This window comes from Homo sapiens, chromosome 5, assembly GCF_000001405.40.
Source record: "Homo sapiens chromosome 5, GRCh38.p14 Primary Assembly".
NCBI classification, from domain to species: Eukaryota; Metazoa; Chordata; class Mammalia; order Primates; family Hominidae; genus Homo; species Homo sapiens.
This window is the reverse complement of record NC_000005.10, coordinates 161873492-161886412: the sequence shown is the minus strand read 5'-3', so window position 1 is coordinate 161886412 and position 12921 is coordinate 161873492. Positions and strand designations below refer to the sequence as shown.

At 35.6% G+C, this 12921-nt stretch overlaps 1 protein-coding gene across 5 annotated transcripts in view; it reads right to left on the bottom strand.

Annotated features, from left to right (window-relative positions):
- GABRA1 (gamma-aminobutyric acid type A receptor subunit alpha1) overlaps window positions 1–12921 on the bottom strand; it is a 52781-nt gene that overhangs the window by 13559 nt on the left and 26301 nt on the right. For all 5 annotated transcript variants that reach the window (NM_000806.5, NM_001127643.2, NM_001127644.2 and 2 more), the window contains 2 exons: window positions 10771–10853; window positions 3712–3855 (listed from right to left, as the gene is read on the bottom strand). In NM_000806.5, the coding sequence (NP_000797.2) occupies window positions 3712–3855; window positions 10771–10853 (227 nt within the window). The remainder of the gene's footprint in view (window positions 1–3711; window positions 3856–10770; window positions 10854–12921) is intronic.

The following is a 12921-nucleotide window of genomic DNA, read 5'->3' as shown; positions in this document are numbered from 1 at the left end:
ACATGCATTTTCTTATTTCCATCTCACAATAGCTCATGAAAAAGATACATACAAAAAAAAAAAACCATAAAAATTAAAACACTTGTCAAAAGTCACACAGTAAATAAGTTGCAAAACCAGCATTGAAATCTTTGTAGTATAACTTCAGGGTTCATACTCTTAGCAACTATGCTTCCACATCTCATGTGTCTCTGATGCCTGTTATTGGTATGACATGTAGTTGAGAGTACATACCCTGCAGGTTGACAACCCAGGTTCAAATCCCAGTTCTGCCACTTCCCAGCTGTATGACCTTGGAATAATGTTTAAACTTCTCTGGGCCCCCATATATCCCATCTATAAAATGGGGATAATAATATTACCTCAATTCTAGGATTTTTGTGAGTATTAGATCTGAAGAATAGAACAGTGCCAATGCATGTTAGCTATTTATCTCACTCAACTAAGAACTTCTGAAGGGCAGGGGTTTTGTGCCTTTCATCTCTCTTCTTCAAGCCCAGTCACCGTGTCAGACACAGTAAATGAACAAGTGATTTAAGGATTACGTGGATAAATGAATGAATAATAAAGACATATTGGATTTGAAAACTAACTGGATCATCTTTCCCGTTTGCCTATTTCTCTGCCATATACTCTGTCCAGTAGTATTTTTCTGCCAGGTGAGTAAGTACACTTAAAACTAAGGCTGTAACTAAATATTCTTTTCCTAAATTTAATGGTAGTATCCAAGGAAGGAATTGTACCTCTAATGTATGTGTACTGAACTAGAAATTCAAATATTGTGCTAGGATTTCCATCTTCTTGCCTCTTATGTTAATGAAGTGATTTAGAAAGTATTTTGACTCAAAGAGGTCAGTAGGATTGTGTGTTTATGTTTTCCCATGTGTTGGTGGCAGGTAAGTAGCACTTTCTAAACTACCAAGGGGATTGAATGATTCTCTCTCCAGGGAGAATTTTAAAGTAGAAGAAGATGCCTTTTATCTAGTCATTCTCAATGTGTGTGTTCTCTCTCACCATCATTCTCTAGTCTTCTGACAGAAACAGGAAGGTAATGGTACTCAAGGTCATTTATTTTGATGTTTTCAGGGCTCCACAAAGAGATGTAAAATACAGCATTGCAGACCTTACACAAAGGTCTCTGTTTCTTTCTACTGAAATCTATCAAGGTGGACTCTTGGTGAGCTAAAGTGGTCCCAGAGGAAGTATAATTCAGCGTTACTGTGGAGTTGAAACGTACATCAAACTGAGCTTCCATTTGAGAATTTGCTCATTGTTCTTCTTACCCCCTAATATTCACTATGTGGTGACAGGAAAAAGCTTTTATTTTATGTAGGTGAACTTGCTGCTCTAGCACAGAATGATGACTTCTAGTGGGCCCAGCCCATGAGGTCTACCCTCATAGGTGTCAATGGGTTGGGCCACTGTCTCTCATTCTACTAAATGACTGCGTATTTTTTCTGAGTATCCAGAATGTAGACAGGTTGAATCCCTTGAAAGCCAAAGGTGAGGAAGGCCTCCATTATTTTGACTAAGCCTCTAATTTTGAACACATGGGATCTCAGGCATAAGAGGGTTATAGTAACATGACTAAGGTTGTTAAAGCTAAAATTAGAGCAGGAATATTCCCTCCTCTAAGCAACCTTTGAGACTTCATACATATATGCCTGCATACTACTGCATTTGATTTGTTTCCCAACATTCTCCAACTTCCTTTCTAACAAAAATAGATGAAGAGTTCCTTGAGGAAAAGTTATGTGTGCATTATTTGGTCTGCCTGGAGCCTAGAGAGTGATTATTTATCCCCCAATATATTCAGACTAACAAAATGAAAAATCAATTCCTGCAACAATCCTTCCTAGATCATCTTAAGCTGGATTTACTTTTTATTCATTAATTCAGAATATTTGTTCAATGCCTCCTATGTCTCAACTACTACAGAAAATAATAGGGATAGAGAAGACAGATGTGGTCTCTTCCATCACAAAAAAATGTTAATCACAGCACTTAAACTACCTATTTTGATAATTACAGTTTATGTGTTCAATTTCTTTTAGACTTCAAGTTCCATGACAGCAAAATCTGAGCTTGTCTATCATTTAATCTGTAGTGACTGCCATTATATCCAGCTTATAATGACATTCAAGTTTTAAAAAGTAAACACAGCTTACTTTCATATCTTTTCCAACATAATATGTTGTAAGAAGGAAAAATCTTGAGCATTTTTCATGTTCTGGGGTATTTCAGGACCATAGCAACAGCTCTTACTTACCATTTGAGTACCTATTATATAACACTCTGCAATATTTTATATTATTTCATCTTTAATACAAAATACAGGACTATCATTACTTAGGCAATACTAGAGTTTCCAACTGAACAAATGACTTGCCCAAAGTCACAAAGCTTCTAAGCGACAAGATCAGAACTTGAGTTCACATCTCCCTCACTACAAAGCCTATGACCTTTCCACTATGCCACTTGGATTTGAAATAAGAAAAAAAGAGAAACAGTTTCCATTTTTTAAAAAAAAAATAAAACACATAAACATTTAAGCTTCTGGGCTAGCAATGAGGGCTTCTAAGCAAGCAAGAGACAGATCCTGTTAGTCAGAACTTGTCTAATAATCATAGCAAGAGAGGTCGACCTATTATTGGAATGTATTATGCTTGTGAGGGTCCCAATATAAAGCATGAAATCAGAAGAAGTTTTTTTTATCACCACTCCTCTTATTTACTACTAAATCGTATTTCCTTAGAAATAAAAAATAAGAGTGAATAAAGTCAACTTAAATTTTGAAAGACATAATTTTGGAAAAATAATTCTTGACCCTCGTTAAAGCTTTCAGTAAATAATGGGCTTTGTGGGGCATGTATTTTTCTAATTGTTTGAGTCCAGTTTTTATTTATAATTATCTGGTCTGATGATCACATTTCAGATAGTACAAAATGGACACTTGAATAACAAAACTTTTATCTTATTGTTCGAAACAACTTTAAAGATGTGGGTCCAGCTTTTCCACAGTGTCAGGTCTAGTTCTGAGTATAGAATTAGTAAATCAGTTACTACACTAAAAAGGATGGCATGCTACCTACTTTTAATTCCCACATGGAGTGATCAATAATGTGGTTATGACTCTGTTGGCTTTAGCTGCGGAAGATGCTTGGTTAGAGATACAAACGAATTTGTAGAAGGAATTGGCTTTTTGATGTCCTGCGTGTAATAATCACTGCTACAAATTTAGCAAAATTCATTAACTAATGGTAATATGTGGAGCCTAGACTATATAAATAGTTATTTATGAAAAGCTTTTGATGGGTCAGGAATTGTGATAAGTACTCTTTAAGAATTTAATGTATTTCTTCCAACCACCCTGCAAGGGGACTACAAACAACTGACAAGGTTGGGGAATAAGGATTTAACCCAGATGTTCATCTCTAAGAGTTCACATAGCTACCTGTTGTGCTACAGTAATTACTTATAGCCAGTTTCTCAATTTGCAAACAAACAAACAGAAACAGAGGCCAAGAGGCATTAAATGACATGTCCAAGGTCACAGGTCTACCGAGTTTACATTAGTTCCCAGCTCAACTGATGCCCAATTTAGTGAAATGTTCTCTCTCCTAGACTTGTGTTACTGAATGATTCATTGAGTTCTCACAAAATATTATTCTTCTTCTTCCTCCATAACTGAAGTAACAAAATCGTACTTACCTGTACTTGACTGGACAATTCCAGAGTCTACTGTTTGTCCAAGAAGGTCATACTGGTTTAGACGTGATCCATCTTCTGCTACAACCACTGAGCGTGCTGGCTCTCTGGTCCATTCATAAACAACTTCTGCTCTTGTATAAGCATCTAAAAGGAAACAGTAGAAAATGATCCATATATTTTACCACTTCAATTCTCTTATTTAGTTGGTACCTTTCATCAGCTTCATATTTTCTATATCATGGTTCCAGAGGGCAGGCTAGGAAAGATGAGCTTATGTCCCTTAATTTACAAAAACTAAAACACGTTTTCTGATTTTTTTTTTTTAGTCATTTATTCACTCTTCCAACAAATGGTTATAAGGATCTACAAAGGACAAAATACTGTGCTGGGGATACAGTAGTGAATATAAGAACAAATGTTCTTTATCTTATGGAATATGCATTGTAGCAGTGGGGACAAAAACATATAAGCAAATACGTATGTAATTTCAAGTAGAGATAAGTGTGATAGAGTCATACACAACCGAGTAAAAGGATAGAGAATGAAGGGATGGAGACTTATCCTAAGTAAGGTAAGGGGCTCAGACAGAGTCGTCTCTGAGGAGGTAACATTTATACAAATACATGGCAGATGCATGTGAAAATCTTGGGGAAGAGTTTGTCCAATAGACAAACTAACAAGTGTCTTCTTCTTCTTCTCCTTCTCCTTCTCCTTCTCCTCCTCCTCCTCCTCCCCCTCCCCCTGCCCCTCCTTCTCCTTCTCCTTCTCCTTCTACTTCTTCTTCTTCTTTTTTTTTTTTCTTTTTTTGATGCAGTTTCACTCTTGTCACCCAGGCTGGAGTGCAGTGGCACCATCTCAACTCACTGCAATTTCCGCCTCCCGGGTTCAAGTAATCCTCCTGTCTCAGCCTCCCAAGTGTTTTCTTCTATTGCAGGCAAAAGCTTGACTAGTTTGAGGAAGACCAGTTTGACTAGAGTGAAGCATATGAGAGATGAAATGAGGTTAGAGGCAGTAGCTTTGGTCCAAATTATTGTTAAGCCAGGAAAAGGTCATGTTAAATGCGAAGGTCATGATAAATGTAAAAATCACTGGAAATTTTGCTGCATGTCCATTAGCAAGTCTGAGTTTACTCTCCTCTTTTCTACTGATTATCCTTCTTATAGATATTTTCCATGATGATGAGTTACATTCTATCACTCTTCTCAATCATTTTTATTTGCCATGTCACTTTGAACTTGGCCATCTCCTAATAAGAGGTTAGGTCATAATTCTGATGGATAATTTACACAGTTTAGAGGGAGAGATTGCATAGAGTGAGAGAGAAAGAGAAGGAAAAGGAATTCCATACCTTTTCTGATTTCTAGTCCTATAACACCCACTTCACATAGGTTGGAATGATAGTACGTACTCTCTTCTATTTAGATGCAGAATGAGGTTAAACATTAAAGAAAATATCACTTTAGAAAAAGCAAGCTGTTTCCAGTGTTTTTGAGGGGGAGGCATCATAGTAAATGTTGGCCTATGACAAGAGCTTGACTCATTGGCCAACAGTCAACTTCTCCATTAGGCACAGGGCCTGAGGCCCTCAATACTTTTAGGAGGCCACAAAAATATTTTAATTTCTTTTGAAATCCAAAGATAAAGTGAATATAATATAATCTGGATTATATTCATCTTTGTAGCAACCTGGTCATGAAATAATTTTAATTTTCTTCTTGGAGGAATGGCCTCCAAAGGCAAAAGTGCCTAGGGCTCATAAAAGTCATAATGCACCTCTGTTTGACCCAATCCCCACTTAAATAACCAGGCTTTTGTGTTCTGTCCAATACACATTTTCCCCAGATAAGATATAGTGAGGTGTAAAACTATAGTTGCTTTTTTACATGAAAATAAGGCTGTCTGAAAAAAGATGTGAGCCATGCCTTTCAGTCCCTAAAACAAAGCTTCTAATGTGATTACTTTTCACTGAGGTGAGTGATGCAGAAAAATGTAGCCAGTGTTCCCTGATTTTATAAGGGTAGCCTGCCAGTTCCAATATCACTTCTGCATCAATTTATAATCAGATGGTTTTTAAAAACAAAATTTTCCATAAGTTTAAGAGAATGAACTAAAAATTTAGTGGTTCATGGGACATGTAAAAGTACGAAATGGATAATTTTGAATTTATCTTTGTTTTTCCTTTTTAATTGTGGTTATCCTCATGGTCTTAAAAATGAAAGCATTTCACCATTGTGTATAGCAGTACTGTGTCTATTAGGAGGGATGTAAAATGTGATTTACAAATCTCTTAGAAGAAGGCAGAGCACACTAGTTTGAGAAGGACCCTATCGTTTACAATTTGTAGATAACCACATTTACTAATATTTTAATATGATAAATTATTGTTTTTTAATGGAAGCATCTTACCTAAGAAGACATAATGAGTTTATGGTAACATGGAATGATTGAATGTTCAATTTGCAAATGCCTCAAAAGTCATAGAGTTTAATTGCATTTTACGGATGGTAAACTGAGGGAAAAAAATAAATGACTTGTTTAAGCAGACATTACTAATAACTGGGAAAACCAAGATAAAGACTTAGGATGCCGTTCATTTGACTTTACTGTGTTTTGTAAGTGTTTTTCTAGGCAAAACTGTATATTAGATAGGTTTGCATAAGCCAAGCAAAGATATTTGGTGGTTGTGCAATTAGTGATGAAACCAAGTCTAGATCTTGTGTCATTTCACAACAAACTAAAACTCTTGCTTTTATATTGCACTGCTGTTAGCAAAAGTGTCTGCACCCTATCTTTTTATACTTTGTCATGTGTTGTTACGGAGCTGCTAATATAGTTGTAGAGGGGGAAAAATGTGTTACCATTGACTTTTCATTTTATATAATTTTGGTGTCTCATTTCTTGCAATTTCATAGAAGCACCATTGCATATGAAAATGTATAGGCCATCTACTACAAACATGACATCATTGTGAAGGTGCAGATGACTCATTATCCATGTCTCTCCATGAGAATCTTCCAAAATGAAGGGTAGATTCACCTGATGCAAGTTAGTATTTTAAGATGGAGAATACAGATATACTTAAGGCCTTAGCAAAGATGATATATCCTATTGTTTCCTTAAATTTTAGTAACCAGAAAATAGTTCCTATGAAAATGTACTTGACCAGAGACATCAGCATAAGAAAAGTGAGATTAAAAAGAGTCTTCAGCTACTTAGCCAAAAATTTTAAGTTACAATTTCAAATAAATTATAATGCCCCCAAAAAAGTTTTAGAAATAAGACCACAAGGTGGCTGGGCACGGTGGCTTATTTCTGCAGTCACAGGATTTTTTAAGGCCAACATGGGCAGATCTATAGAGCCCAGGGGTTTGAGACCAGTGTGGGCAAAATGGCAAAATTCTGTCTCTACAAAAATTTATTTGAAAATTAGCCAGGTGTGATGGCATGTGCCTGTAGTCCCAGCTACTCAGGAGGCTGAGGTACGAGGACCACTTGAGCCCAAAAGGTTGAGCCAGCAGTGAGCCCTGATTGTGCCACTGCACTCCAGCCTGGGCAACAGAGAGAGACCCTGTCTCAAAAACATTAATTAATAAAATAAAAAAGACAAGAAGGTTTTGGTTGGTGTTATGAAAGAACTCTGTGGTGGTAAAACACTGGGAACATATATTACTTAGTATCAGGAGAGTTGCTAATTGACACTATCATTTCACTTTTATGAGTCTCTGTGTTTCCATTTGTATGAGCCACATGAACAAAATGATTTCTAAAGTCGTACATTGTTCAGAATTCATTCAAATTTTGACTCATTCCTCTCAGTGTGTTTGCAATGCATTGTTTTTTGATAATTAGCCAAAAGACAATCATATATTAAGGCCTTAATAGATTCAGCTTTTGCCTAGGTCTTTATGTCAGAATCTGCAACCCAAATCTCTTCTTTTGGAAACAAAGCCTTATTTGGTATATTTCTCAAAAGCAGTGAAACGATCACAGTTGTATCATGCACATTGCCCTCGGGTTAGCTGACTTTATAAAGAGAGCTTTATCCATAACCAGTAGAAAGTTTAAGTTAGCCTTAACAATCAGAATCTAATAGAGAACGGTAAGAAAGACTGCTTCTCAACTTTAGATTTTATCACCATATGGATAAGGTTGCTTCAGAATATTCATAAACATTTATTACAGACTGTTCCACTAAATTATTGAAAACTCCTCTTGTCTATTCTTTTCTCTGATATTTCGGCAAGGTGTTTACTTCGAAAAATGAGTCAAAATATTTTTAGCCCATTCTTGCCTCAGTTTCTTCACCTTTGAAATATGCTAAGTAGGCCAGGTCAGAGAAATGACTGGACAACAAATGGACTGCCCCTGCCTCTTCTTGTGCCAATGCCAGGCAGTGGTAATTAGCCATGGTGTTCTTTTCCGCTAAGCATGACCGTCAAAGCCTGCACTTCAATGTCTAGTCTGCTCTGTTTCATTCCCCACAGGTCTTACACTCTCTTTTCTGAAGCTTAAACAGTGAAGGGGCATTTAAAGCCTGAGTCTTGTAACCTTTATCCATTCAATAAATATTTACTGAGAACCTACAGTGTATTTGCCTTTGTGCTAGGAAAAGCTGAACAAAGTATGTCCTTCTCTCGTGACGTTACAGTCTCCAGGCAATACAAAAGTTAACCAATAAATAAAATGAATCATCATTGCTGTGATAAATGGTATAAAATAAATGTGCATTGTGATCAACAAGACTGGTGAGACTGTAAGCAAATTTCGATAAGGTCATCAGGGAAGGCCCTGGGAGATGACATTTATGCTGACATGTGGAGAGATAGAAGTCAGCCATGCTAAGAACCAAGGGAAGAGTAATCCAAGCAAAGAAAAGAGCATATGGCTCTGAGGTGGAAAACAGCTTACTTATTTTTCTTTAGCTTCAATTTTCTTATATGAGACACTGTTTTCTACTCACTATACATTTACCTCTTCTTAAAATACCTCTAATATTCTTCAGGTTGACAATGTGTCCAATTAAAAATATTTACTTCCAGCCTTCTTTGCAAATATCATTGGCAATGTGAGACATTTGATTAATGAGATGTAAGTAGATTTCCACTAGGATTTTAGGGAAAGCTTTTATCTTTTTCGTATAGGCATTACTCCTTTCATTTTTACCAACTATTACCTTCTATCACAAACAGAATTGCATTGACTGGAGTTACAGCAGCCATCTTGTGATGAGAAAGAATATCTAAAGACATCTTAAGACAGTGGCCTTGTTAGGATGCTGAACCAATCAGAAATCTATCAGCACTCACTTTCACACATCTTATATAAAATGATAAACTCTCCTTTTTTCAGCTATTCTCACTGCTGAAAGCATTCCTGACTAATTTTTAAAAATATGCAGTTCATTTTCCAAATTAGGATTTTTTAAGATAAAAGGGGGAATTATTAGTATTTATACCAGGCTGGGCACTGTGGCTTATGCCTGTAATCCCAAAAATTAGGGAGGCCAAGGTGGAAGGTTTACTTGAGACCAGGAGTGTGAGACAGACTGGGCAACATAGCTAGACCCTGTCTATACCACAACCATACAAAAAAGTTACAAATCAGCCAGGCGTGGTGGCACATGTATGTAGTCCTGGGTACTCAAAAGCCTAAAGCAGAACAATTGCCTGAGCCCAGGGGGTCAAGCCTGCAGTGAGCCATGATTGTGCCACTGGACTCCAGCCATGGCAACAGAGCAAGACCTTGTCTCTTAAAAAAAGTATACCAGTATATTAGGCATAAACCGATACTGTCCCAGGCAAACTACGGCGTATGATCTTCCTAACTGTAAGATTAGGTTGTGATTTAGATGAACTTATAAATATACAAATATTTAATGTACTATCTGACATGCAAGTAACATGTAGCACATATTGTCATTATTACAAATGGATCTGTTATTCAGGAGAAAACATAATCGTTCATATTAAGGAATGTATATTAAATTGGGAAAAAAGCAGGGAGAAGGGAGTTATCACCAAATGTCTGTTTAACCTAGAGTTTTTGAAGCAGTTTATCTTCGAGTTTCAGTACAAAATGGGATTTATAAATAAAATTCTCTCTCCAGGACTGATGCTGCTAGGAGCCCGAAGGCCTTTTGCTATTTTCTTTACTTTCTGTCTTCCTACACTACCACTGTTATTTTTCTATGAATCATATCTTCACCAAAATAGTCATTTAGACTGCCTGTCTAGTGAGAACAGAAAATCGGTTAGGTAGTCCAGGAGTTGACTCAGTCCTTGTACATAACTCCCCTGCAGGAAACCAAGAATACATTATTCCCACTCACTCCATGCATGTAAACCAGTTGAAAGCAGAAGGGTAAAGAAAAGACCGGAGAACCTGACTCTCACAGTCATTTTTCTCTTGGCTGCTCCAAGGTGTTTCTGAATATTTTCAAACAGCTGAAACCCAGGAAGTTATTATGAAGGGCATTTATCCAGGATACTTTCAAGAGCACTAATATATATATATATATATGAATGCCATGAGATACACACACATATCAGCTAATTTTCTAAGACTATGATTAGGGTATTTGTGTTTTTTGCAACATCAGTTTGGTGTAGGCTTCATTATTAAGAAACACTTACTGTCCTTTGCCATTTACCAACACTTTAATCTGGTAAACGAATTTAATTATTTTTAAGATCAAACAAGTGTCAGTAAAGATATAAAATAGACACAATGATCTCCATTAATTGAGAGGAAAATATTATCCATGAGGTAGAAGCATCCATACTTCACTTCTTTTTCTATAAATACAAATTCAGCATAAATAGAATTATTTCAATAACTAGTTTAATCCATGCTTTCTAGTTCAGTAGATAAAGAATAAGCTCTCTCTTGAAGCAACATTAAAAAGTGAAGTCACAGAGCACTACTTATGGAAAGTCCATGTGGTATATTGCTGTTTAAATTTTCTTGATTCCCTTATCTACGCGTTTTTCTCACAGATATAGCTAGAGATCTCTTGCTTAATGACTTACAATCAAGAAAAGTCCATATAAATTTACTCACAACTTCCAAATTTTAGTGGGCAAGCATGGGCATCCATAGGGAAGTCCTCCAAATGCATCGGACATTCAGCTCTCACTGTCAGCCTTAAGGGAAACATAGAATACAAACAAGAGCCATATAGATTAGATACTTCTTGATAAGTACAAGTGGAATGTTATTAACTGTAGCAAATATATTAACAAAGAAGGCATAATTGCAGGGTTATGCTGAGCTGTTAATAATCAAATGATCTAAAAATACATATTTACAATAATGAGTGGATTCTATCCTTTTGTTTGTTTGCTTTAAGAAACAAGGCAACCCCTGATATTGTACAATGGGCAAGCCTTGTTAATATTTTCCAAAACGACCATTAATTAATCCACTCAGCTATAGCAAATGGTTTGAGAATAACACTAGATGTAAGCAAATAAACACTTGCGTAAATACTACTTTATCCTTGCTTGAGAGGAAGACATGGATAGCATGGAAGAGAAGAGAATTTCTCCTGTTCTAAGTGCATCTCTCTCTGCTTCTTTCTCTAAAATAGCACCAAATGCATAGAAGAAGGTAGGAAAAGCTGAAGGGGGATGTGTCCTCAGGCTTTGTGAGATTAAGATTAATACAACATCTCCATACATGATCTCACTACTTGCAAACCATTTCGTTTTATTTACAAACCCACCATCTAATTGAAGCTAGGACTCTGCTGTGCTTCTCTCTAGTCCCTGGGATGTTCTGTGGATGTGAAATCTATTCTTGTTTTGTTTTGTTTTTTTTTGGATTGCTAAGAAAGAAGTTCACTGAAATATATTTGCTTTCAGTTTGTAGAATTATAAGGAAATTGATATTCATGTCCTTCATATGATTTTTAGCAAGCATATTTACCCATATTATTAAGTAGCTCAAGAAACGTAGTAAGATAGATTTATAGTCAATCATTAAATGATTAGAATACCAACTAAAGCAAATATACAAAGTATAAATTTATGATTAAATTGCATTCTTAAATTAAATTATTAAAGAAAGTAAAAACACATTAGCAAAGGAAAATTTTAGGAGATGAAAGATACAGATGAAGAACACTGTATACATCAGAAACCATTAATCAATAAACCACTTAGGATATGCAAGTCTCTCCTCAGAAAATTGCCATCTAAGAGGAATGAGTACTGGATTTAGGCTCAAAGCCAAGTGTATGGTGTTTCATCAGGGGGGAATATTTCAAATTTCAATTACGAATAGGTCCTGCTTAGATAATCTAGAAAGTTCTCAACACATGTGTCCATTGGTCCTCTATTTCTATCTTTTAGATTTTTTTAAGTCCTAATACATTTTAATTAGTTGGCTCAATATCCAAAGTGTCTCTTGAAGAATTTTTTCTTTTCTTTTCTTTTGGATGTTTGCATTTGAAAAGCTAGGCATTCTGGCAGCTTTCTCCAAAGGCAAAATATTACTGTACTTGCATACAATCCATAAATTTAGGATTTTACCTTTATTACCTTTTTGTACCAAAGAAATAATTGAAAAATCTGAATTACTGTGTATTGACCAAATGTAAAAAACTCGTATCTAACAAGTCATCTGGGAATAAATTACTGCTGCTCTCAAGAATGAGTTCCAGACAATTCTTAATTTCTCATAAATGAGGAATACTTTTAAACATCTCTTTTTTTCTATATAAAATTCAAAACTTTATTTGATTCATGTTTCCTTCATTCAGTCATAAGGTATTCAACACTTAATAGATGCTAAGCTTTACAGCAATCTTAAAGAGAGGGAAATGTTTATAAAACAGAAATGTATACGTAGTCTTTAGTTTGAGCAAAATTAATAGTATCTATATTCTCGTCTAGCTATCAACGCCATTGTGAATTCAAATACTTCTTAAAATACCTATGTCTACATGAATCTGTGTTTTATGAATTTTGTAACTTTCCATATTTTTTGTTTTTTATTACTTCATTTTTAGTAGGAATGTTTTCAGATGTAGATCATTAGATGGCTTCTAGAAATTTAGGTCTTACTGGAATGAAGGAATATATGAGTTTTATAGTAGGGAGAGGAAGTTCCTTATATTGAATCCACCTAGCTACAGAAAATTATTTAAGAATAAAACTAGATGTAAGCAAATAAACATTTGCATAAATAATACTTCATCCTTGACTGAGG